At 51.3% G+C, this 24,440-nt stretch overlaps 1 protein-coding gene across 6 annotated transcripts in view, besides 4 other annotated features; it reads right to left on the bottom strand.

Annotated features, from left to right (window-relative positions):
* PLCG1 (phospholipase C gamma 1) overlaps nucleotides 1-24,440 on the bottom strand; it is a 40,084-nt gene that overhangs the window by 13,776 nt on the left and 1,868 nt on the right. For all 6 annotated transcript variants that reach the window (XM_005260438.3, NM_002660.3, NM_182811.2 and 3 more), the window contains exons 2-10: nucleotides 4,093-4,245; nucleotides 3,888-3,981; nucleotides 3,698-3,745; nucleotides 1,315-1,399; nucleotides 1,126-1,209; nucleotides 859-893; nucleotides 576-648; nucleotides 372-473; nucleotides 18-136 (exon numbers count right to left, since the gene is read on the bottom strand). In XM_005260438.3, coding sequence (XP_005260495.1) covers nucleotides 18-136; nucleotides 372-473; nucleotides 576-648; nucleotides 859-893; nucleotides 1,126-1,209; nucleotides 1,315-1,399; nucleotides 3,698-3,745; nucleotides 3,888-3,981; nucleotides 4,093-4,245 — 793 coding nt within the window. The remainder of the gene's footprint in view (nucleotides 1-17; nucleotides 137-371; nucleotides 474-575; nucleotides 649-858; nucleotides 894-1,125; nucleotides 1,210-1,314; nucleotides 1,400-3,697; nucleotides 3,746-3,887; nucleotides 3,982-4,092; nucleotides 4,246-24,440) is intronic.
* Nucleotides 5,258-5,778: an enhancer, noted in NCBI's record as "H3K4me1 hESC enhancer chr20:39786713-39787233 (GRCh37/hg19 assembly coordinates)". NCBI's record gives its function as "activates a minimal SCP1, AML or CMV promoter by ChIP-STARR-seq in naive H9 embryonic stem cells {active_cell/tissue: H9 hESC(naive)}" and the evidence as "EXISTENCE:reporter gene assay evidence [ECO:0000049][PMID:30033119]".
* Nucleotides 6,275-6,424: an enhancer, noted in NCBI's record as "active region_17890". NCBI's record gives its function as "activates an Ori minimal core promoter by ATAC-STARR-seq in GM12878 lymphoblastoid cells {active_cell/tissue: GM12878}" and the evidence as "EXISTENCE:reporter gene assay evidence [ECO:0000049][PMID:35858748]".
* Nucleotides 16,996-17,496: an enhancer, noted in NCBI's record as "H3K4me1 hESC enhancer chr20:39774995-39775495 (GRCh37/hg19 assembly coordinates)". NCBI's record gives its function as "activates a minimal SCP1, AML or CMV promoter by ChIP-STARR-seq in primed H9 embryonic stem cells {active_cell/tissue: H9 hESC(primed)}" and the evidence as "EXISTENCE:reporter gene assay evidence [ECO:0000049][PMID:30033119]".
* Nucleotides 17,497-17,997: an enhancer, noted in NCBI's record as "H3K4me1 hESC enhancer chr20:39774494-39774994 (GRCh37/hg19 assembly coordinates)". NCBI's record gives its function as "activates a minimal SCP1, AML or CMV promoter by ChIP-STARR-seq in primed H9 embryonic stem cells {active_cell/tissue: H9 hESC(primed)}" and the evidence as "EXISTENCE:reporter gene assay evidence [ECO:0000049][PMID:30033119]".

Raw genomic sequence — 24,440 nt, 5'->3', positions numbered from 1 at the left:
GAAGGAGCCACACTCACGTGTTGTGCGAGGAGGAGATCCAGTAGTGGGAAAGAGGGTTGTTCATGGTGTCCGGGCATACTGCATCCAGCTGCGAGTTCCACACACTGTTCTCTTTGGAGAACAGGAAGGTGACAAACTGTCCAGAAACATGTGGAAGGGAAGAGACAGTGAGTCCCTGCCCTGTCCAACCCAAGATGGTAGGTTGGGGGTAGGAGAGAGAGTGCTCTGTCCCAACTGGGGGTGGGCAAGGTGCACAGTAGGTAGAAACAAGGTGGCATCCCTAAGGAGCGTCTAGCTCCTGGAGCCCGGGTGGGGTCCTGGTCACCCCTACTCATTCTCTTGACAAAAAATGGGTGAAACATCGGGCTCACCTCATCCAGGAAGAAGTATGGCTCCTCGATCTCTCGTAAGGGGTCTCGGAGGAAGCTGAGCATGAACTCCTGCACCTGGAGGCGATCAACAGCCCACAGCTCCTGATGGGGTAGGGAGGGCAGGGGATGAGAGAAGCCTCCAGTCAGGGATGAGCCCAGCCCCCCACAACCTACCAGCCTGGGCCAATGTCAGCCCAGCCATACCCCCTGGTAGTCAAGAAGGAACTGCTGGAACTCAGGAAGGGACACTCGGCAAAGCTCCGGCCGCTCCCCAGCCCTGCAGGGAGAGAAGGTAAGCTAGCTAGTATGGTCAACAGACAACAAGGTGCCCCACGGAAGGCAGAACCCAACTCCCAGCCAGCACAGCTTCCCAGAATGGTCCAGCATGGTTCCCTACTCCCACTGCCTCCCACCTGGATCAAGAATCGCCCAGTGGAGAGATGAAGGGGGCCCAGGGAAAACCCCACCTCCCCACTCCAAACCAAACCTCAGAGTACTGGCTTCCAAGAAGGGGAGGTCCATCTGCAGGAAACAGAACCTGGTCAGGGCAAGACCCCTGGGAGGCCATGTGGGAAATGGGCTAGTAAGAAGGCAGGCTAGAGCAGCAGATGGGGGCAGGCCTCAAGAGGAGAAGAACTGGAGAAATGGCACCCAAAAGCCCCTAAGCAGGGCAGCAGGGCTGAGGCAGGCAGAGCTGGGGTGTGGGGTGGAAGAGCAGGGGCAGGGGTTGAGGGAGGGCAGGTGGCTCATGCACCGTCTTCTGGGCGCTGTACATGAGGCTGCGGTACAGCTGAGCAAACTGCCCGTAGGTGATGTCCCCGCTGCGCTGCTCCAGGTCCTGCATGGTATAGAGCAGGAGTGCCAGTCAGGCAGTCAGGCCCCCAGCTGAAGGGCTCTTGGCTTCCCCTGCCCCCATCTACAGACAGCCCTGGGTGGCACTTACCGTCAGCCGCTCTCGGAGGAAGCGCATGTTGGGGACCCGGTAGTTGACCTGGGACAGCATGTTCTTCAGGTCCTTGGCTGATATACTGAGAAAACAGGGACATCCCCAGTGGTCTCATCCAGCTTCTCATGACCTCTGACCTGTGGGTCGAGCCCACCTGGGGCTGGACAGGTAAACAACACTATTCTGGGAACCTGGAGGCCTGAGGGCAAGACTGGATCAGAACCCATGGGGTGAGGTTAGTCCCTTCCTTTCTTTGGACCTCAGTTCCTCATCTGAGCAAAAAAAAAAAAAAAAAAAACAAAAACAAAACAAACAAAAAAAACCTGTAATTCTGGCAAGGAAGATGTGAACAGATTCAGTAAAGTGGGTCAGGCATGGGAGGAAGAAAAACCACACTCCAGGCCTCCCCTCCTACCGGCACTGCTGAGGCCTGTGCCAAGGTGGCAGTCAGCCTATCCAAGACAGAAGGCAGGGCTCACTCACAACTTCCCTGTTGGGGGCAGCATGGCAGCAGGTCCCTACCTGCTGCCCACTGGGATGCTGGGAGTTTGGTCCTCAGAACCCACTAACCCATGAGAGGGAGGAAGGAGGAGGTGCATGCTCCACCAAATACAATGACTGGCAACTGGGCACCTCCTGGGGCTAGACAGGGCCTGGCTCCAGGAAAGAAACTGAGAGAACAAGCGCCCCTGCTCTCCAGGGGTGTCCTGCCCAGGATGTGAGGCTGGGGACACTGCTGGACCTGGCAACAGGATGGACAAGAAGGGGGAAGGGGGGGGCTTTCTCTCCTGGAAGGTGGTGTCAAGGAGGGGAGGGGAGGGTGGGACCACCTCCTCTGGGCCCCAAGAGCCTGGGAGGAGGCACCAAAATTCCCCGAGGGGGCTGAGCGCCACACTGAGTGGATCAAGCACTGCGGAGGGAGGGCTGGCTCTATATAGGCGCCCCCTCCTCTGATCCTCAGTCACCCAGGAGGTAGGTGCTATCAGGGTCCTTGTTTTCCAGTGAGGAAACAGAGGCCTTCTGGTTGCAACTGCCTGCATCACCGATCTTGCCCTCTGTGGTCTCTTTCCCATCAGCATACGAACAGCTTGTTACTTCTTCCACCAAAAACACCTGTCTTGCCCCTGCTTAGCTCTCCAGCTACTGCCCTCTTCTTTGCTCCCCTCCATAGCAAAACTCCTTGCAAGAGTCATCTTGCTCCCTCTCATTCCCTTGAGCCCCTCACCGCTAGGGTGACACCGCTCTTCTCACCATGTTAAATCCAAGGGTCAACGGTCAGATTTCACCACTGTCTTCTTCCTTGGGCTGCCAGAACTCAACACTCTGGGGGTTCTCCTCTTACCGCACTAGTTGTCCCTGACCCCTCCAATCTCTAATATGGGGGTGGTCTGGGATCAGCCACTGGACCCTGCCCTTTTCTTGGTCTGCTTGCCCCCTAGGTGATCTCACCCAGCCCTGTGGCTTTCAGTGTTATCTACATACTCCCAAGTTAAAATCTGTAGCCCCTACTGTGTATGTACCTAAACTCACTCTAACCACCTGCCTACTCAACATCTCTCCCTGGACAGCTAATAGGCATCAGAAAACTTAACATGCCTCGAACTGAACCCAAGCTTCCCTCCAAATGGGCTAGTCCCATGATCTTCTCATCTCAGTCAATGGTGACTCTGTTTTCCAGTTGCTCAAGCCAAACAGCATACTATTATCCTCAATGCCTCTCACACCCCAAAATCAATCTGTTAAGGACATTCTTTCTGGCGCTATCTTCAAAATACAACATGGCCAAAATCCAGCCACTTCCTACCATTACCATCATGATCCAAGCCCTCTCATTTTTCACCTGGAGTGTGGAAACAGCTCCTAACTGAGCTCTCCACACAGCAGGCAGAGTGATCTTGAGTAACCCAAGTCAGGTCACATCACTCCTCTCCTCAGAACCCTTCCATGGCTTCCCATTTCTTTCAGGTCAAAGGACCTCACCATGGTGCAGCACCCACACTATCTGGTCTTTGCTCCCCCTTCTCTCCTTGGCCCCTCTGGCTGCCATACCAGGTCTCAGAGCCAGAGTTTCAGGGCACCCTTCACACGCTACTGGCCACCCTCACCTCCAGGACACCCAAAGCCAGTTCTACACATCCAGTCTCTGCCCATAGTGGCAGGGCACACAGCATGTGGCTGGCTCCTCTCACCAGCTCACACCAAGGCCACCAGAGGACTTTGTGCAGAAAGCTACACGTGGCAGAACCTTCTGCCCACCCTCCTGGCCCCACTTAAGGTCCCCTGGGTCCTCTGGCTCTCCGGGCAGCTACTTAGAGGCCTGGCTAAGGTTCTGGATGCCCATCCCCACCCTGCTGGGCTACAGCCACAGCTCAGTACTTACCGATCCTCACGATTCCGATCCACTGAGTAAAACTGCTTCCGGAGCCACCTGGAGAGAGAAGCCTGAGGTGAGGGCCACTTCTCCATCTACAGTCAGGCCTGGGAGATGTCTGGGCACACAAAGGTCTGCTGTCCCTGTCCCCCTGGTCCCTAATGCTCCCAGCCCTAACCCCTTCAGGAGTGGTTCTTACCTCTCAATCTGCAGGGGTGTGGGTGCCTGCAATGTATCCTCCATCAGCCAAGTTAAGCCCTTGATCCACATGTTCACTTCATCCTCAGATGTGGCTGTGAGCAAGGTATCAATAGCTGCCCCGAGGGCACATACCTCCCACTGGGCAGGAGCCAGCAGGCATTCCCCTAACTATCCTCTACCTCCTCTACCCCCTTAACTCCCACCTTGCAGGCTCAGCGTTTTCAGGCGAAATTCCATTCCATAGAGAATGACAAAGCAATGTGACTGGTCCGGCCGGAAAGCTGGGTCCTCTTGATAGCGATCAAAGTCCCGTGAGGTCTTCCCTGGGCGGATCTCCTTAATTTCACGAATGTCAACTAGGAAGGTAGCAAAGAGGCCAAGATCAAGCTGGGGTCTCCCAGAGTCAACACCGAAAGGAGGGCAGCCTGGTTTCCTCATTCTTACACTCTCTCTCAGGGAGGAACCCCAGAGGCAGAGCCAAGACCACTCAGTCACTCTGGTAATAAGAGGGCTGGGTTGAGTCTAGGGATAGGCCTTTGCTAAGTAAGGGCTGAGATGTCAGAGAGGGCTATATGGGGGAAAGGTGGTTCTGTGGGGTGTCCCTTCCCTATCTTTGTTCCCTCACTGAGACATTTTGACCTGCAAAAGAGCTAGACTCCAGAAGAAGAAATAGGGACCCAAGGCTGTTCATGAGGACCACTTCCTGACACAAGGTACACACAAATCAAATCATAAAGTCCCAGAGGCAGGGCTGGGTAGGTCAAGATGGGCCTCAGGATCCCTGGGAGAAAGTAGGCTCTGGCCCAGAGGACTGGTGCATCCCTGAAATGCCTAACTGCTAAAGCCATCCCCACACAAGTCTCAGCAAGGGGCCTAATCCCCACCCCATCCCCTGACCAAGGCACTGGCTGTCCAAGAGCAGCAACCATCCTGGACCCAGACCACCATTTTGCCTGGGACCATTTCCTTATCTTAGCTATCCAAGGCCCTTGCATGCTCCCGTGGCCTTCACAAGGCATAGTCAGAGAGGTACACGGGCTTGAATAGCAGATGACCTGCCCTCAGCCACTAAAACTTGAGGCAATGATGAATAATTTATTTAACTTCTCAGAGTCTCAGTTTTACCATGTGTAAAGCAAAGGGCTTGACTGAGTTTCTCTAGAAGGCAGGGTGGTAGAAAAAACATGCACGAGCTCTGGGTGAGACTGGCTGAACTAAAATCCTAGCTCTACCTCACATTAGCTATGTGATCTCAATAAAGTGACAGCCACTCTGACCTCACTGCTACACCTGTGAAGAGAGTAACATAAGAGTAACACAATAGCATCAGAAAGATGTTGGTAAGATCAAAAGTCGTAACAGCTAGAAACACCCAGCACTATATGTGGGACATGGAGGGGGCCCATCCAATGGACTCCTCTGCTCCCTCAGCAAAGGTGCACAGGCTCTGACACACTCTCCAGCACAGGGAGGGGCTGCCTGCTGGCTGGAGGGCAGACATTCCAGCCCAGAAATCACCGATTTAAGGTAGATTAGGTCAAAGGAAAAAAGCTTGGCTTAGCCAACAGCTATGACTTTCTTTGAGTACTCCCCAAGCTCTGAAGCCTCTTAAAATCCTCTAAACCCAGACTGGCCTGGTAACTTCGGAGCCAGATGCAGTGCCAGCATTTGCCTGGCCAGCCCCCACCCCAGGAGCCCTTCCAGCCCGAACTGCACACCAACCTGCCTGGAATGTCCTAACGGCCCAACTCCCCCAGATGCTCTCTTCCTGTCCTGTCCCTCTAGCAACTGTCACAAAACTCCACATCTATCCCACCTGGAACAGTGGGCATTGCTTCTGGCCCTAACCCTAGCTCCCCGACACATTTCTGGTTCTACCTGGAACCACCTGTCCCCTCAGCAAACCCCTCCAGCCTGTCCTCCAGCTGAGAGTCCTGCCTTTTCTGCTGTTTTCCCTGACCCCTGGTTCTCACCCATCAGCCATCCTTCCCCAGTCTTCTGGCTCTTCATAAAACATTATTCTGACCCCCCTAGACCTCATTCAAGCCCCTCCCGAGGCTGCCCACTGCCAGTCTAAGGAGAACAAACAACAAACACCTTCTATGGCCTTGAAGGCTCTTTGTGACAGGGCTCAGGAATTTACCTCCCCAGCTTTTGCCCTCTCACCCTCTCTGCTCCATCCACACTAAGCCACACCTAGGGCAAGAATAGCTGTTGCTTCCCATCCCTATTTCATCTTGATTCCTAGTCTGGAAATGTCCACCTCCCCGGCTCCCTTCTCTTCCACCAAGGGCCCAACTGAGAAGCTCCTTCCTGTGGTACTAATACACTTGATGCCTCGTGCATACAAACACGTACATACATGCTCACATACCTAAGGCCAGGCAGGGCCCCTCCAGGGCTTGCTTAATGACTGAAGAAATGAAAAAGGCAGGTACACAGGCAGAAGGAGGGAAAACCAAATAGGGATGGGGAACAAAAATGAACAGTTATACTCGGGTAGAAACAGGGGCAGGGAGAACTGGGCCATAAAAGACCTAACCGAGAACACAGGGCTTCCAATGACAGAAGGAGGAGCTTCCATCAGGGGAAATGGCTAGATCAGAAACTGCAGAACAACCACAAACTCTGCCTTTTGAAACAGAAACCAGTCTGCTCTTCCGGTGTGGAGCTGCTGTCATCCCCCTCCCACACCTTCTTGCAAAGGTGAGTGTGACTGTACACACACACACACACACACACACACACACACACACAGAGTCAACAGGCCTGCACTCCTGCACATATTTCCATTGAGATCAGTTGAAGGCAGAACAGGTGCCTGAGATAGGAACCAGGTAAGCATAGCGCAGCTCCACGCCAGGCATCCAATGCTCCCAAGTTCCTGTTGGCCACACCTGATCCCTTGTACTGTCTTCCGTAAGAAGGCACCAGCCTGGCCCTGGCAGCACAGTGAGATGCTCTACTAGGTTCTTGAAAGCCACATCCTGTGCTACCTCCCAACCTCACCCTTCATCTTCCTGCCTCCCAGAACAAATATGGCAGCATCCTCTTTCTTGAGAGAGCCAGAGCTGGTCCCCAGAAATTCACAAGGAGACTCCCCAGAGAGGAATGGCCTCTGCCCTGGTGGCAGGTGACAGAGCGAATGATCCAGTCTGGCACAGTCTGGGTCAGACCTCTCTGCCATTAGTCAGGAGGGCAGGAAAAGAGACCTTCCCAGAACTTAGGAGCTTGAGAAGGGGAGAACTACTTAGGGGAGTAGGAAAGTCACACGTTATACCCAAAAATCCATGACCTAGCACTCCTCCCCAACTCAGAACCATGAGAGGACAACATTCAGGGGAACTCTGGGGAAAAGAAAAGCCAGGGGTACGAAGAGGCCGTCACTATGAAGAAGATGGGGCAGTGAGAAGGAGGAACTCTTTGAGAACAAGGGCAGGATCCCACAAGTAGCAGCCCAGAAGCCTGATGTATAGCATAATGACAAAGGCCTAATGCCCAGGCTCGCCTTGACCCAAGAAGGCAAAGCCCAGCCAGCACAGCCCATCAGGGCTGCAGCATATTCATTCTGCCCAGCACCACGTCCCCAGGCCCATGGTGATGGCTGCCCAGGCTTCAGGAATGGCACCATGTCCCCAAGCCCACAGTGAATGCTGCCTGGGCTTCAGGAATGGCCTGGGCATTACCATTCCAAATGTGGCTATGGTAGACAGTGACAAGATAAGCTGCTTGGGGCAGTGAGGGGGATTTAGTCCCTTATATTGAATCGCTCACAAACTCTGATGAAGAAATAGATTCAGTCTTTCTTAAGGGGCTCTGAAGTAATGAGGGACCACACACACCTGTGCCTGGACTGTATATCACATGTCAGCTCTGAGGACTGAGAACCTTCTCATAAGCCAGGCTTCCTGGTGCCCCAGGCAGAATCCTGGGGCCTTGCTCTGCTCCCTGCCCTGATGGAGATCTGCCTTCTCCTGCTCTTTCAAGAAGCTTTCCCTGACCATCCCCTTCCCAGCTTAGTGAGGAGAACCACACAGCTCTTAAATTCTAGCTATGAGGCCTTGGCAGTCCCTCACTCTTTTGGTCTCAGTTTCCCCATCAGGAAACTGGAAATTCCTCTTACCTCACATGGTTGCTGTGAGGGCCATGCTGGGAAGTGCTGGTAATAGAGAAGTCTGGAGACAGCCCACCTGTCTACCTGTGTGCCTAGTGCCATTGACATGGAGCCTACAAAAGCTGGCAGTAGTGGAGACAAATAAGGCCACTTGCCAAGGCTCCACTAGGTGCAAACCCAAACTTGGGTGAAATAAAGATGATCCATGAAGAGAAGAATACAAGCAGCTATTTCGCCAGCTCAAAAAGAAGCCTGGCAGGGATGGGGGCATTGTATGGGGAGAAGGGGGACTCTTACAGACTTGTGTACAGATAAGCATATGCAGACACGCTGCTTCCTGAGCCTGCAGTGCCCCACCAGCACACTCACCAATAGTCTGAGGCACGTGCATCCCCAAAGATCAAGTTTCAAATCCTGGCTCCAAGCATATAGCTAGGCCTTGGCAAGTCTGCAGTCCTCTCTGGTTCATCGTAAGATGAAGGCTTTCGTGGGAGTAGACCCACAACAGACCCTTACATGTAGGCACACTACCTCACAGATATCCACATAGGACGGTCAGCCTTGGCCTGCCCTTACCACGCCCAACCTCAGATTCATGTGTGTTTTGTTTTTTGGGCAGAAGGAAATGTGCCTGCTGCCTGGCACCTGGGGCCAGCTCTAAGCATTAAAGCAAAATGCCACAAGACTGAATTTGTAAAATAAAAGGTTATATGACGAGGCCAGGGAGACTGGGAAGAGCAATGTTCCTTTTCCATCTCTTCCCTCTTCTCCCCTCCCTTCTCAGCCCAGGGACAGACTCCTGGCCTGAGACCACAGAGATTAGAGACCAGCAGTTACTCAGAGCGGAGCTTCTGGGCCATGCAGTCCTGGACAGCATCCCCCTTTTGGACATGCCAGTAATGGCAGTTGCTTTCCCTTTAAAAGAGGAGCCTGTTTCCTCATCTGAGCCACCCTATGCCCAAGCACTCTGGGAGCTGTGAAGCTATACAACCCTCAGGGCCAGCTGAGAACCTGCCTCTGCAGGAGAGTAAGCCCCCACCCTGGGACAGCACCCAATCCACTGAGTGGGGAGAGAGGGTGCTGTCGAAGGGACAAGCTATATGGCGGGCAGCCAGTCTGGAACCTGGGAAAGGGAGAAGACAATAACCACAAAGGACCCATCTGTGTGCCTGGCTCTTCTGAAGGTAGGGCTGCTTCCTGTCTTTGACTCTTGCTCCCACCCCGACTCCCCCGAGACATCAGGCCAAGTCACAGGCCTGCCACTAGCTCTCTTCCTGTCCAGTAAAGTGGGATAACCACCCTGTCTGGCCACCACGAGGATGTGCATAAGGGCAGTATTCCTGTTGCCCCGGCAGAGTTCAAGGACAGCAGGAACCCTAGGGAAGAGAAAGAGAAGAGCAAAGGCAGGGCTCCTCAGAGCACAGCCAGTGAGAGCCAGCCAATCCTGCCCTAGGGGGCAGACACATGGCAGGCCCTAGAAGGGGGAGAGGGAGCCCAATCATCAAATCCAAGACCCTAAATTAGACCTAAGTTTCTTGTTGGAACCTGTGTCCTAGTATCCCCTGTGCTCAAAAAAGCCACTTCCAAATAGCCCAACAGACAGAGGTCCCCCAAATTTATAAGCCTGTTAACCGCTCAGCAGGCAAAAAGGGTGTAGAGAGGTATTATGAACAAAAGCACTGGCAAGGTGGGCAGGAGGCCTGGACCCATCTCTCTGAGCCTCATTTTCTTCATCTGCAAAATAGAATCACCACTCCTGGCACCTCCTTCATTGGACTACAGTGAGATGCCAATGAGGTAAGAGATACAGAAGTGATTTAATCAGAAAGGGACAGGAGGACATATTGAAAACTAAACCCACCAAATGATGAAGATATGGCCAAGAAAACCATAACCAAAAGTACCCCAAATTTCTGAACATGAAACATGCTTTCACTGAAATATTTCTCTGGGTCTGGGTGTCTCGCTCTGTTGCCCAGGCTGGAGTGCAGTGGTGCAATCTCGGTTCACTGCAACCTCTGCCTCCGGGGTTCAAGTGATTCTCATACCTCAGTCTCCCAAGTAGCTGGGATTACAGATGCACACCACCATGCCCAGCTGATTTTTGTATTTTTAGTAGAGACGGGGTTTCACCATGTTGGCCAGCTGCTCTCAAACTCCTGACCTCCAGTGATTCGCCTGCCTCGGCCTCCCAAAGTGCTGGGATTAGAAGCATGAGCAACCATGCCCTGTCTGAAATATTTCTCTTCAGAGAGGGTTTTCCCTTTATAAAGTGCATACGCTCACTTTAGAAGGCTGAGGCAAGAGGACTGCTTGAGGCCAGGAGTTCAAGACCCATCTGGGTAACAGAGGAAGACCCCACCTCTGCAAAAAATAAAAATTAAAAAAACTTAGCTAGACATGGTAGCACATGCCTGTAGTCCCAGCTACTTGGGAGGCGGTGGGAAAGATCACTTGAGCCCAAGGGTTTGAGGCTGCAGATGAGTAGGAAGCTCTATGAGCTATGATCACAGTACTGTACTCCAGCCTGGCCAACAAAGCGAGATCCTTTCTCTAAAAACACAAAACAAAAACACAAAACCCAAAGTGTGTAAGCTAATTGATGTAAATGGTAGCAAAAACTATCCATTTAAACATGCATGGAGTAAAGAAATTTTGTAACTTAAAAAAACTGCAACTCATAGTAAATATGAAAGGTCTCTTTAAAATCTAAAGAGCTTGAAAGAGGTAAGCGAAGATTTCCTGGACAGGTTCCTTCCCTTCTGGGGGTTTTTACTACCCCCACCTGTGGCCTGTGGACCCCAGAACCCCTCAAGGCCTGTGTGCCCCACTCTGCAGAGGGCACTGGAGGAAGGCAGGGAAAGCCCAGCCCTCCTCAAAAGGGTCCAAGTCCAATTAACACAACACAGACACCAGCCCATGTCTCCCCATACTCCTTCCTGCCTCAGCCTTTGCACAAGCCACTCCTACCTCCTCACTTAAGCCCCCACCAGGCCCAGGCCAGGGGCACACTAGGTGCCCCCTCCTCTCTTGTGTGTCACCACTTGTCACACCTGCTGGTGCTTCCCTGGTGTCTTAGGCCACTGGCCTATGAGCTCCTCCAAGGAAGAAACCACATTTGACTCTTCTCTCCATTCCCTACCAGTCCAACACAAACCCAGGGCCTGGGGAGGCCTCAAAATGTTCAGAGTACTTAAGAGCAGGAGTAAACACATGGGAGTTAGATTCCAGAGCTAATTATCTAACAGGCAGCAAAGGCCACAGATGCTCAAAAATGGTACCAGAAAGATGGTATCAAGGATGGCTTCCTGGAAGAGGTGGCACAGTGGGCCACAGAGGCTGAGGGGCTACAACAAATACTGAAAATGCAGTGGTCAGTGAGGTAACAACGGGAACAGAAAAAGCAGCAGCAGGCATAGTTGGGGGGAATGTGACCCCTGGGGGCAAATACAGTCTGGAAACACTGGGAAGTCCTTACATAAAGATTCCTATAGCCAGTGGGAACCACGGGAAGCTAACAGAGCTTTGGGAAAAACAGTAAAAGCAGCAGGATGCCGAGCACCCACGCCCTGCTGGGCCCGAAGCCAAGACCATGAGGAGATTCAGGAGAGTGGTCCCAGGGGTCAGAAGAGGTGTGTAGATCTCCAAAATGACCTCTCACCAATCACCCTCTCCACATGTAGTCTGTGGCAAACAGATGAGTCCCTCCCAGTTCCCCACTCCCATACCAAAGAAAATACACAGCCAGGACCTAGGAGAGCATTAATGGAGCTAAGCCTTCTCCACCAGAGGATGCTGAAAGATGGACAAAGAAAAGTTCCAGCAGAAGTGAGTATCATCTGGGCCACTTCTGGCCCCCTACCTCAGTCACCCCATCCCCAGGTTCCTATACAACTCCCTGTGGGGTACGGCAGGCACTGCACTGCAGATCCCCCTTCACAGGCAGCCAGAGGCACAGGGGCTCTGCACCCATCAGGACCATACGGCTTTGGCAAGGTTTTTGCAGCTCTGAAGGAAAAGGATGGAGGTAGCCAAAGAAGAGACAAAGATAGGACCTGGACACAGGTGGGAAGGAAGCCTGATGCAATAGTAGCCAGGTCACAGGATGGTCAGCATTTCCAAGCTGGCTGCATATGCCCAAAGCCTGTGGAAAGGGTGAGAGTTCTCCTCTCCCTCTCATTCCTCCCTCTTCCTGAGACTATAATATTCCTCCTCCTGCCTCTCAGTAGAAACATACTCACAAATCTGAGGTTTCCCTGAGCACATCTGGCTGCCACCAAAGGAAGGTCAAAGTGGAGGGGTGGGTAGCTATCCCTTTCCATTTTACAAACAAGGATCTGGGTTCAGGGACTTCTGAGGTCACAGGGTTATATGGCAAAGGGAAGGCGATGGTGGGGCTTACTGTCCTTCCCATTACTGTGCAGCAGCTGCCTTCAAACCAGACCCGCGGGCAGCGAGTTGGACAAGCTTGGTCTAGATTCTAGACAAATCTCTTTGAAACAATGAGGAAACAGAGGGTCCAAAGGGTCTTGTCATGGTCATATGGTGAGTCATGGCAGAACTGGGACACTCTGCAGTGTCCCCACAGCAGCTGCTATCCCTGACACTGGGTATACAGAGAAACACAGAGCAGCCACAGCCAGCCTTTGTACCATCCAGGCAGGCAGCCCTCTTCCCTAGGACTCTAAATTAATCTCACCTATTTCAGAGGTAAGAACAGAATCCAAAGGAAGGAAGGGAAAGGAGGTCCCACCCAGAGAAATTAAAGCTGGAAGAGCACTCAGCAGTGATCTATTCGGCTTATGCAGTCATTCATTCCATCATCTGATCAAACATTTATCGGGCATCTATCTACTCCATGTCAGGCCCTGGGCTGGGTCCTAGGGAAACAGAGATCAATAAGGCATTTGAGTTCCTGCCTTTGAGAAAACCCCTGCCTGATGGAGGAAACAGATGGGGAAGCAGATAACTATGAGGTCATGCAACGAGTAGAACAACAGGGAGGTGTCTGTGGAGCTGAGTGTGTGTAGAGCAATGTCTTGGAGTGCTCTGTAAAAGCCAGGTCTGGAGGGCTGACAAGCACACATTGGGCAGAGGGGTTCATGGAAACCAAGACAGAGGTGCAGGAGTCCACTAAGTTCCACAAACAGGGCATTCAGAGTATCATGGATGAGAAGGGAGGGAAGATGGCCTATACCAAGCCTTGACTGCCACAGTAGGGAAAGGTGGCTTTCCCCAACTTTTCTGCACAAGCCCAGAAGATTCTCCAGGCAGCCATGGGTCAGCCTCTGTGTCAGGAGTCTAGTGTGCTCCAAACTCTGCCTCCCTTGCAGACTGATGCTGCCTAAGTTCTTTCTAGATGGCCTGTGTATGCCAGGCTCCTAGCTACAGGAGAGAGACTGGGGACCCACCAGGGCCATGTCTCAGGGATGCCCAGGACCTCAAAAGTCCCTCATAAAATGCTCCCCCACATAGTACACTCAGGCTACTTGGAGAACCAGAGCAATGGGTATAAGTCACTTTTAAAATTTTTCTTTATATTTTATAGAGATGGGGTCTCACTATGTTGCCCAAGCTTGTCTCAAACTCCTGGCCTCAAGTGATCCTCTCACTTCGGCCTCCCAAAGTGCTGGGATTACAGGTGTGAGCCACCATGCCTGGCCCATAAGTCACTCTGTTGTCCAGGCTGGAGTGCAGTGGCACCAACAGGGCTCACTGTAGCCTCTACCTCCCCAGGTGCAGGTGATCCTCCCACCTTGGCCTTTCAGGTAGCTGGGACTACAGGCAAACCACAACGCCAGGCTGATTATATTTTTTGCAGAGATGGTGTTTTGCCATGTTGCCCAGGCTGTTCTTGAACTCCTGGGCTCAAATGACTCGCCAGTCTTGGCCTCCCAAAGAGCTGGGATTACAGGCATGAATCACCGTGCCTGACCCATAAATCACTTATCTATGGTCCTCCTTCCTGACACCTCAGAGCAATCAACATGGTTGATCACGCCCTCTCTCCTTGAAGCTCTGCCCTTGATTTCTCCTGCACAACCTTGCCTGGTTTTCATGCTTCTTTGTGCGCTACAGGCCTACCTGCATTTAGCAATGGCCTTGGTCAAGGCTCAGGTCAAGGTCCTCTCTTCCGGTGCTCTGCCTTCTTCCTCATCAGTGTCAGCCATGCCCACACCCTTAATTACCTCCTATGTACAGATAATTCACAAACAGGTCTCTAGCCTAGTCCTCTCCTCTTAAGCTTCAGATCCTTCAATTCAGCTGCCTACTTGCTATCCCCACTCTTCATCTCAAAACGTCTCAAAGACAACTCCTCAAAACCAAACACTGTCTTCTCTCTCTCACCAGAACCAAGGCCTCTTGCCATACCCCCTGGGTCAGCTAAGAGCATCACCATTCAAACAGGTACCCAAACTCCAAACTTCAGAATGATCCTTCGCATCTCCTTTTCTCTCACCAGCCCCCAATCCAGCCCTCTGAGAAGTCCCACTGGCTTTATTATTCAAAATTAACCATACGTTCTGAGCACCTACATGAGAGACATTAAACTAGATACTTGGAATACAAGTACCTCAAGGAGCTTGAATGTGGAAGGAAAAATTAGATATGAGTATTATGCTAGATAGCTTACGTTAGAGTCCACAGACAAATACTATAAGAAGCTGAGAAGTAGAGGATGAAGTAGTTACTACCTCTGCTGGGTGGGAAGAGACGATGAGCAACAGCAGCATCTGGCATCCTAACACTAATTTCTTGCATATTTACTTTGCATAGACATTGCATAAAGCTCTTGATAAGACTGCCTTACAACGATAAAAACTGCCTTATATTTTATACTTGCAAATAACACTATGAAGTAAGTATTAGGGTCCCCAATTCCCGAGTGAGGAAATTGAGCACAAAGAGGTTAATTAACTTACCTAAGGTGGCAGTTGGTGAGTGGCAAAGCCAACAATACTTCAAAGCCAAGACTGCCTGTACCCTAGACGTGTGCTCTGTAATGCCTCAGAATCCTTGTTGGAAGTGGCCAAGCAGGGCCAGCACAGACAGAAGGGGAGGATGGAGAGGACTCCAGGTTTCGTGGTGCACTCCTGCTTCACAGTATTTATTATAGTAGCCATACATGTATTTTAAGGCTGTCTGATTGTTTTCTCCACTAGAGCGTAAACTCCTTGAGAGACTGCACCATGTCTGCCATCTTCAATGCTCCATGCCTACCAGGAACTTAATAAGGTTTTGGGGACCTTATTCAAGAAAAATACTATGAAAGCATCACTGCTATATAACCTGTTCCTGCTCACTAGATAAATGAGGCCCTCCTGACCACAGCCCAGCATATCTCCAAGTCTCTCTCTGCTGCCCTGTCTCTGCAGAGCCCTCTCACAAGGGAGAGGAAATGGAATGGGTTGGGAGAAGAAATAAAAATCTGGGGTCTCCCTCCTACAAGGAAACAACAGGGGCCTAGGACTCATAGTGGTGGGGGAAGCGTCAGAGCAACAGGGGCTGAGGTAGGGAGACAAGTGGGAAAGGGAGAATAGAGGCCTTCCCCTCTGCCACTCCCTGAACCCCATGACATCTCACCACCCCAACCTTGGTTCCTGCCTCTTTGGTTTCTGTGTTACTGCCACCTCTTGGACAGTAAATGTTGGTTTAGTCCTTAAGCCTCCAACAGAGTAAATCTGTGGGGCTGGAGACGTTCTAAATAATGACCGGAAGTCGTCAGGTCAGAGGCCTGCTTGCTGAGACATCCTGCTTCAGCAGAACCCACTAGGCTCTCCTGTTTTAGAGCTACTTGACCCAGCCGCCACAGCATCTGGCTGCACTCCCTTTGCGCCATGCCAGCCCAAGCCAAGCCACTCTCCTGTTCCCTTTTTGCTTCCTGGGAAACAGGGCCCCAGTGAGTGATCTAGACTCTGATCTCACTCCAAGGTGCCAGGGATCTCATTCACTCACTGCCTGCCCAGAAAGCCCAGCTTAAATTTTTTTTTTTTTTTAAAGAGACAGAGTCTTGCTCTGTCACCCAGGCTGGAGTGCAATGGCGCGATCTTGGCTCACTGCAACCTCTGCCTCCCGGGTTCAAGCAATTATCCTGCCTCAGCTTCCTGAGTAGCTGGGTTACAGGCGCCTGACACCACGCCTGGTTAATTTTTGTATTTTTAGTAGAGATGGGATTTCACCATCTTAGCCAGGCTGGTCTTGAACTCCTGACCTCGTGATCCCCCTACCTTGGCCTCCCAAAGTGCTGGGATTACAGGCGTGAGCCACCGTGCCCAGCCCAGCTTAAATTCTTTGAACTCACCTCCCCTACTGAGAGAGATGGCTACCTTGGATTTCTTTCTCTGAAGTTGAAGTTGAATAACCTATCGTTTTACCTGCTTAGGACAGCTGCTTGCCCAAACTTTACTAGCACACATGATTGTATGGAGCTTCATGCTTCCGGTGTAGACCAGTTCTCAGGCCAGAACCAGGCCATCCTCTTGTGATCAGTCTGGCAACAGACATTCTGTTCTCACTGGAGGGAATGCTCTGTGTTTCACTGCTGGCCTCAAAAGGCCCTCAGCAAAATCCTTAACAAAGTGACATATGTTACCTTTTCCAACCTCCTTGGTAGATATGCTAAGAACGCCCAAGAAAAGGCCACAGTCCCAGTTAGGATGGACAAGCTAACACAGGCACATTATACTCAATTACTGTTGAAGGTGGAGGAAGTGACTAGGGCAGGAAGAGGGGAGCTGCCTCCAAACAGGTGGTGGACTATCAGGCAGAATAGGGTGACCATAAAGTGGGTCTTCAGTGCCTCAGAGAAGGACCATCACCCCTGCCCCCATCGCTGCCCAACCTCCCAACTGAGGGAATGGAGTTGTATTCCTTAGCTCACCTCCTGCCCCCAAGTAAGCTGAGAAACCTGTGGGACCTATGGCCAACTGGAGCTCTCCTTCACTCCTTCCTAGGGTTAGTCACCCTGTGAACTCAGGCCCACACTCTCTGGGCCTTAGGCTGAAGTCAAGGTGGGGTTGGAATTCTCCCACCACACATCCACACCTACACAGCCAGAACCCAGTGTGGTCAATACCCGACTCCTACCATGGGCAAGGCCAAGCCAAGGACACTATGACCCAAGCCCATGCCCTCAACAATCATTTCCCTCAGAACATTTTAACTCAACCATATCCCCAGGTGTCCAAGAAAACAGGAAGCCAACCCCAAAGTGAACTCCCCACCTGTGCCCAGGAAGAACTAAACACACACAAACAAGTGGCCAAACTCGCCATGGCCCAACTCCTCACCAGTTTGGCCAGCTGTTCACTGTCAGGGCCCAGAACATCAGTAAGACCACCCACTCTCCTCCGTACCCAAGCCTTGCTGCCTTGCGCCCAGGCCCCTCACAGCCTTTGTACAGATGCTTTACCCAACACCTGTGTGCCAGCTGGCAGGTGGAGGGACCCCAGGGGGTAGGATGGGCTGCTACAGGGAGAAAAGCGATTCCATCTTGGCCCTCAGGCCCAGCCTACAGCACTTTAGGCACAGCTGTCTCCTGCCAGCCCTGGGCATTAGCGGTTTTCTGCATGGTCCAGATCACAAGCTTCTCAGGATCAAGGACTGGGTCACCTCGTTTTCTTGCTTCCTAACTCCAGCCTCCTCTGTGCCAGGCCTGGGCTCAGTAAAAAGGGATGCCAGTCTTCTGTAGGAGAACGCCCTGCCCCGTTTACTCTGCATCCTGAGTCTTGCTGAAGCCAGGGCCACCGGCCAACACCAGGAAGGGCCAGGGCCGGAAGGAAGCAGCAGAGCCTATACACAAAGCCTACATGTGGACTATAAAAAGGAGCTCCTCCCTGCCTCCCCCAGGATGGGCCCGGTTCCTAGGAGGTAAAGAGTGGGGAGAAAGCTAGGACTTAAGCCTGGGCACACAGCCACTGCAGCCTCTCAAAAGCTAGCCAAGAACCACCTCAAAAGGAACTAGTCTTGCAAGGAGGGGTGCGAGAATATTAAGGGCTTAGCCAGGAATGCAAGTAGAGACTCTCCAAGTCCCATCTCTTGGGACCATAGCCTCTCTTAAGGCAACCAACTCCACTGTCCCCATTGCTTCTTCCCCAAAACTACAGAATATTCGGGGACCAACCCCTTCTCACACTTCTCTACTCTCTAGGGGCTGAAAACACCCCCTAGAAGTCTCTAGGCACCCATATTCCCCACTTTCTCTGGAGACTTCAGCACACCCAGCAAAGCTCTGGGAAGCAAGTGTGATGAGTGGCAGAAGTAGCGAGAAACTCAAACTCTGGGCAGCAGGAGGATACTGTGGCCACAACAGAGTAGGCTCAGCAGGCAGCTCAAGTAGGGCCATGGGTTGGTGGGGAAGGCGGGGGCAGCTATGGCAGAGATGACAATTAGGCAAGGGCCACACAAATATACCTATTTCAAAGATGTCAGCCAAGACAGTCTCTTGACCCACACAGGCAGCACTCTACTCTACCACAACAGCAAAGCCACACTCACCACATGCATCCTAAGTCATAGAAATTAATTCCTTCTAAACCTCCATACTCCAAATCCCTCTCCAGCCTAGTTTGCCCAGGGTGTTCAGGTTCTGTACTAGAGGCCTCACCCAGAACCACTGAGGCCACTCTCCAGGGACGGTGGTGTAGGTTAGCACACATAGCAAACAGGGGAAATTAACCTTCCTTGTTGCCAGCCATTGATATGTGGGCATCATTTGTTATCACAGCACACCCTCACCTACCCTGACAGAGCAGCCTCTTGCCTTATTTCCTTCATAGAACTCACCAAATCCTATAAGAATTTTATCTGTCTGCCTATTTATCTCCTTTCTGGCTGTATCTACCCTAACCTTATGTCCACTACTGGTCTCCACAGTGCTTGGCACAGTTAGCAAATGCCAGAGTCTAAAGCCAGGGAAGCACAAGTCGTCTCTCACTTATTCAATGAGCCACTGAGGCCCAAGAAAGCTAGTTTTTTGTTTTTTTTTAAGGAGAGTAGGTATGGTGAGATGGAACACAAACCACGCTAGAGATCTACTGCCACCATGAACAAGTCAGAGGCTGGAGTAATCACATCCAGCTCAGTGTGCCCAACACACAGTAGCAAGGCCCACAACAAATGTATGACAAATTAAAGAGCACATGAATGAATGCATGCTCTTGAGTTGTCATAGAGAATCCTGGAAAAGCCCTTCTCAGGATATTTGGGGCATGGAGCCCCAGGTTCCCATGTTCTGTAGAAGCTTAGGCGGAAGTGTCACCACAAACCAGAAAGTCAAGAGGGTGAGGCTCTTCTGTGTCCCACCCCCAATCAGCGGCTACATTCACCCCCATGTAGGAGTGTGGGAAAGGTCTGGGTGGGCCAAGCATCTCGACACCGGTGTTGTGGCAAGGATGAGTGCAGGACGGGTTTTGAAATTGAGGCAATGAGTCCAGCTTGTCCACAGATGGAAGTCTAGGCTGGTCAAACACATGTGGCCAGAGGGAAGAAAAACAAAACAAAACAAAATAACCCTCTGTTCCTATAGAACGGTCCATCCTATTATCATTTTCCCCAGAATGGGAGAATAAACTGAATACTATAGCAGGAATCTGAAATCCTAGGATCTGCCATGAACTTGCTATGTGACCTTACCCTTAGGGCTTGGTTTTCTCCTCTGTAAGAGAGGGATAGTAACTCCTGCCCTCCATGGATTCATGGAGCTGCTGTGAAGTTCAAACAATACAACAGGTGAGAAAATGTTCCATGAACTCCCAATATGCTATTCCAATTCCAGAGTTTTTTGATGCCCCAGTCCTCTGTGTACAGACTCAGGGAAGGAACACAGAAAGCAAGTAGGAAACAGACTCCTAGCCCAGGTTGTTGGAGCAGCCACTTGTGGCCGAGCTTAGTGGTGGAAAAGATTGGAGCTCTGTGGTTAACAAAGGTGAGAGTAAAGGAAATGAATACTGTTAAGTGGCCACTAAGTGACAAATGTTGTGCTGGGTAGTTTTCACATAAAATCTCTTACTCTTATATATAATCTCCCTTATTATTAATATACAGCTCTGTGAGGAGAAATTACTTTTACAGCTAAAGATCAATTTCAGACAGGGAAAAGTAATCTGCCCAAGGTCACAGTAAGAGCTGAGACCTGAACCCAAATCTGACCAGCTCTAGCCACAAATCTCCAGGCACTTCAGCTCAATTACCAGCAAGGTGGGACTATCTGGTCAATGGTAGCCTGAAGCCACTCCTCACCCGTGGCTCCACCTTGAGTCTTGCCACCTGTAAACATGCTGCTCTCAGAGATTCCCTCCAAGGACGCACTGTTCCCATGCTCCTCTCAACAAGGCACTCTACAAGGGGCACCAGAACATTCCCATCCTCCTATCCCACACCCATCTCTCCTAGGACTCTCCTCACAGTCTGCAGTGACTTCTCTAGTTCTAACAAAGCAAGTGGAAAGGGGGAAAAATCAGTCTCCTAATATCACACCTTTGCAATCTCAGGCCTCACTCCCTTCCTCCAACTTATCATCTGTGGTCTCCTTGAAGCCACATCCCACAGGAAAAGGCACAGAGTAAGAAGAGATGCTGTGAGTTAACGGAGACTGACACAGAACAGTGACAGCAGAGGCAGGCCCTACCACATCGAGGCTGTGGCATTAGAGCACTTCCTCAAAGACAAGATCTCTCCAGATAGCGTCCTGGGCTAGGCACTTAGAAATAGGACAATATCATACCTTCACTCTACAGAAGGGGTTACCACCCAAAGCAGCTGCTTCCAGCCAACTGCCCTGTCTCCCTGCAAAACCAGCAGTGGGAAAGAGCCCTGACAATAGAGGGACTGCTGAGAGCTGCAAGAGAGGATGGGCGGGCCTCCTTGCCTCTGAATCAAAGGGCTTGGTGGCCAGGCACCAGCCCCTTAGGACAGCAGGTGCATTCGAACTCCTCCCCACCAGGTCCTCCTGAGAACTTAATCCTCATCTCTGTCCTGTCAGGGATCCTACGTAGTAAGCACTTACACTGTGCCACACTCCATGCTAAGCACTTTATACAGGTGCTAAGCACTTTATACAGGTTCTCATCAAATCCTCACAAAAACCTTATAAAATAAATGCCATTTAATACTATCCTTTTTACAGATAAGCAGCCCAGAGAGGTAGTCATATGCTTTAAGGTCACAGAGCAAGTAAGCTGCACAACAGGATTTTAATTCAAGCAGAGTCTAGGGCCCAAATGCTTAACTACTAAGCTCTGTCTCACCCCTCAAGACCCAGCCCTTCTCCCATCTACCACCATGGCATCCCCACCCTGCCTCAGCAAGAAGGTCTTGTCTGGGCCCTCAGCAGCTCTCTCCTGCAAACTGTGCAAACCGTAGGAGCTCACTGGCCTCCCTCCCCAACACCTGCCTGACAAACCACTGCCACTGTGGTCTCCCAGGCAGAGGCAAGTCAGTCCCACAACAGCCTCCGCTGACTCCCGTCGCCTCCAGGACTGAGTGTAATCTGCTGGACATGGCACACTAGGGCTATAGCTGTCTCCAACCAGTCCCAGCTTCCTCTCTACCACACCATATCTGTTCCCTACCCCTGCACAGAGTGATTCCCAGTTCCTTAGCCTCGGCACAGACAGGTGCCTCAGTAATTCAAGGCCTACCTCAAAGGTCACCTCTCCTTTAATGCCTTCCTGGCAGAGCTCCTCACAGTTCTTGGTAGAGGCCTTTATATTATGGTATGTAACACACAGGGTTATAATCATATGCCTCTACATCTGTCTTTTCCAAGAGTTCATCAATGGCACAAACCATGTCTCAATAAACTTTTGAATCCTTGGTGCCTAGCACTGGGCAAATGGGGAGGTATAATAATACTTATTGCAAATATTAATAAATGTGCCTCATTCCAAGAAGCTACCCAGAGCAAAGCTGGTAGCCAAGATCTCTAAACTCCAACTGAATCCTGTGCATCTGTGTACACACACACACAAGAGTCTGGAGAGAAGCTGGAGGTGTTGTGGGTCCCAGGACTGGGTGTGCTCAGCTCCTCCAGTTATCTGTGAAGCAGGCCCTTTTCCTAGGTTCACAGGAAACAGAGGATCCCAGCTGGGCGGGGGGGCCTGGAAACCCACACATCGGGGCAAGCCTGGGGTGCTGAGGAAACACTAAAAGGTCTGACTTCCCTTGGAAAAAACTACATCAGACAGGAAATACACAGGCAGGGATGGCTAGCTCTGGAGATCCGGACATGTGCTCCTGCCCCTCTCCCACTGGGAGTAACAGCCAGTACAAAGAAAACCCTTGATGACACCGGCCTGGGCCTTGCCCTCTCCCGTGCTGTGGGCCTAGCCCTCGGAGCAGGCCTCCTGGTGTGGTCTGCTCCCCAGCCACAGGGGTCAAGCCCCAGCCAGCTGGTTCCACTACTACCTCCCTTCTGAGCCCGCCTGCCTCATCAAGGCAGTTAGCTGTTTTCTTCCGCCACCCTCACCCTCTTCATCAAAGGTACTGCTCACAATTGTCATTGCCTGTTTTCATTTCCCTAAAAGCAAGCACCCATACTCCTTCACCTCAGAGGGCCTGGCATCTAGAAAAGTATCTAGTGAAGGATCAGCCAAAGACAGAAGCCTGGGGCCTCAGAAGTCCCCATGGACATGCTCAGCCAGTATTCAGAGTACCTCCACAGTGTCTACACCAGTGTTTACTGGGCCCACAAAGACCCTCAAATGGACAACCTCATTAAACACGAGTCTGAACCATCTCAACTCAGAAAACACCAGAAGAAAAAGTGTGGAGCCAGAGCCTAGAGAGGCTGAGGCTGTCTTGGGATACAAAAGCCAAAGTGGTCTTTGCCCTGTAATGCATGGTCTGAGCACAAAGGTGTCTCACAGAGGAGCCACGTGGACCACAGGGAACATGGGCTTGGGGTTGCTAGTCAGCCTCTGACTAGTGAGCTGGCCCCAGCTGAGGCCCTGGCACACACTGACACAACACCTTGGGCACAAACGATTCTCCATTTCCATTTGCTCATCTGTAAAATGGGACGAAAGGTCTCAATAGCACTCAGCTGGAACTCTACATAACTGCATTTTATTCATTTATGTCAGTATCTGCAACATAAAAGGCCAAACACCAACCTGGTTCCTGTCATACCACCAGGACAACCAAACTTGTCAACACCTAAGCACTTCCCCACCCCGCTTTTGAGCCAAATGACCACCCTAGAAATCAGGAGGTGTCAGCTCCATTTCACAACTGCTGACAAGAGAGGGCACAGAGTCAGGGCAGAAGAAGGTCTTACATATCAGTATGAGTGCTCCTTAAACCACACTGTCTCTCCCTCAGGTCTACCAACACCCTGAAGGTAGCACAGTGTCTCTCTCTTAGGCCAGGCTTCAGGCACTGCTGGTACCCTGGTAGGGTCAGCAGGAAAGGCCAGATACCTGAGGTGCTTGGGCAAGAGTCCAGGTGGCAGAAAACCCGGCTGGCAGTCCAACCTCCTCAGAGGCCGCAGGGATCAGAACCCACCAACAAGGAGAGCCCACGAATGGGTAGAAGCAGGGCACGGCTTCAGTGGAAGCCTCCATTAGTTAAGTCTGAACACACAAGCATCGACCAGACTTTTCATCCAGGCTCTTTTCAATCTGAGCCCCCAAAATCCAAAAGCCAGGGTCCTCCTACATCCTCTGCCTACTCTCCAGGCCTGTTAAATCCCAGCTAACTGATGAGATCACTGAATTTGTACACCTCTGGCTGACCCACCTGCTCACCCCTGGGTAGGGGGTTATCAGGTCCTCTGTATGCCTGCCTCCATCCCCCAAATACATGAGGCATGATAAATCATCCCCTCTCTGCACCCCTCTTTTCTGTTCAGGCCCCAACTTACAAACAAGAAAGGTCACACCCAGGAGTCAAATGTGCACAACTGCAAACACTTTCTCTACAGAAACACTGTTCTACATGGTGGGTGGGTGAGTGGGCACATGGGTTGGGGCAAAACAAAACTGTTTCCTGCCTTTTTCTGAGTAGCAATCTAAGTGAAATGTGAATTTGGTCACCGTCCTCCTCCCTTCCTGCACCTTCATCCTCACCTATAGCCACACCTCACCCCCTCACCATTCCCAGTTCAGGGTCTTGAAGGGCAGCCACGGTCTATTGTTAATGTTATTGCTAATAACAGCTCATATTTATTAAACATTTATGTGTCAGACAATGCTAGATGTTTTATATGAATTGTCTCATTTGATCCTGGAGCAACCATATATACTGGATATATTATTACCCCCATTTTACACATGAGGAAATCAAGGCTCAGAGAAGGTAAGTAACTGGCCGGGAAACACACAATGAATATATGGGCTTCAAATCCAGACTTGCCATCAACCACTGTGCTACATTTATTGCCTGCTAATATGCGTGGTTTAAAATGCAGTCTGTTACCCAGGAGATCTCTGAGAACTT

This window comes from Homo sapiens, chromosome 20, assembly GCF_000001405.40.
Source record: "Homo sapiens chromosome 20, GRCh38.p14 Primary Assembly".
Classification (NCBI taxonomy): Eukaryota; Metazoa; Chordata; class Mammalia; order Primates; family Hominidae; genus Homo; species Homo sapiens.
This window is presented reverse-complemented; position numbering and strand designations above follow the sequence as displayed.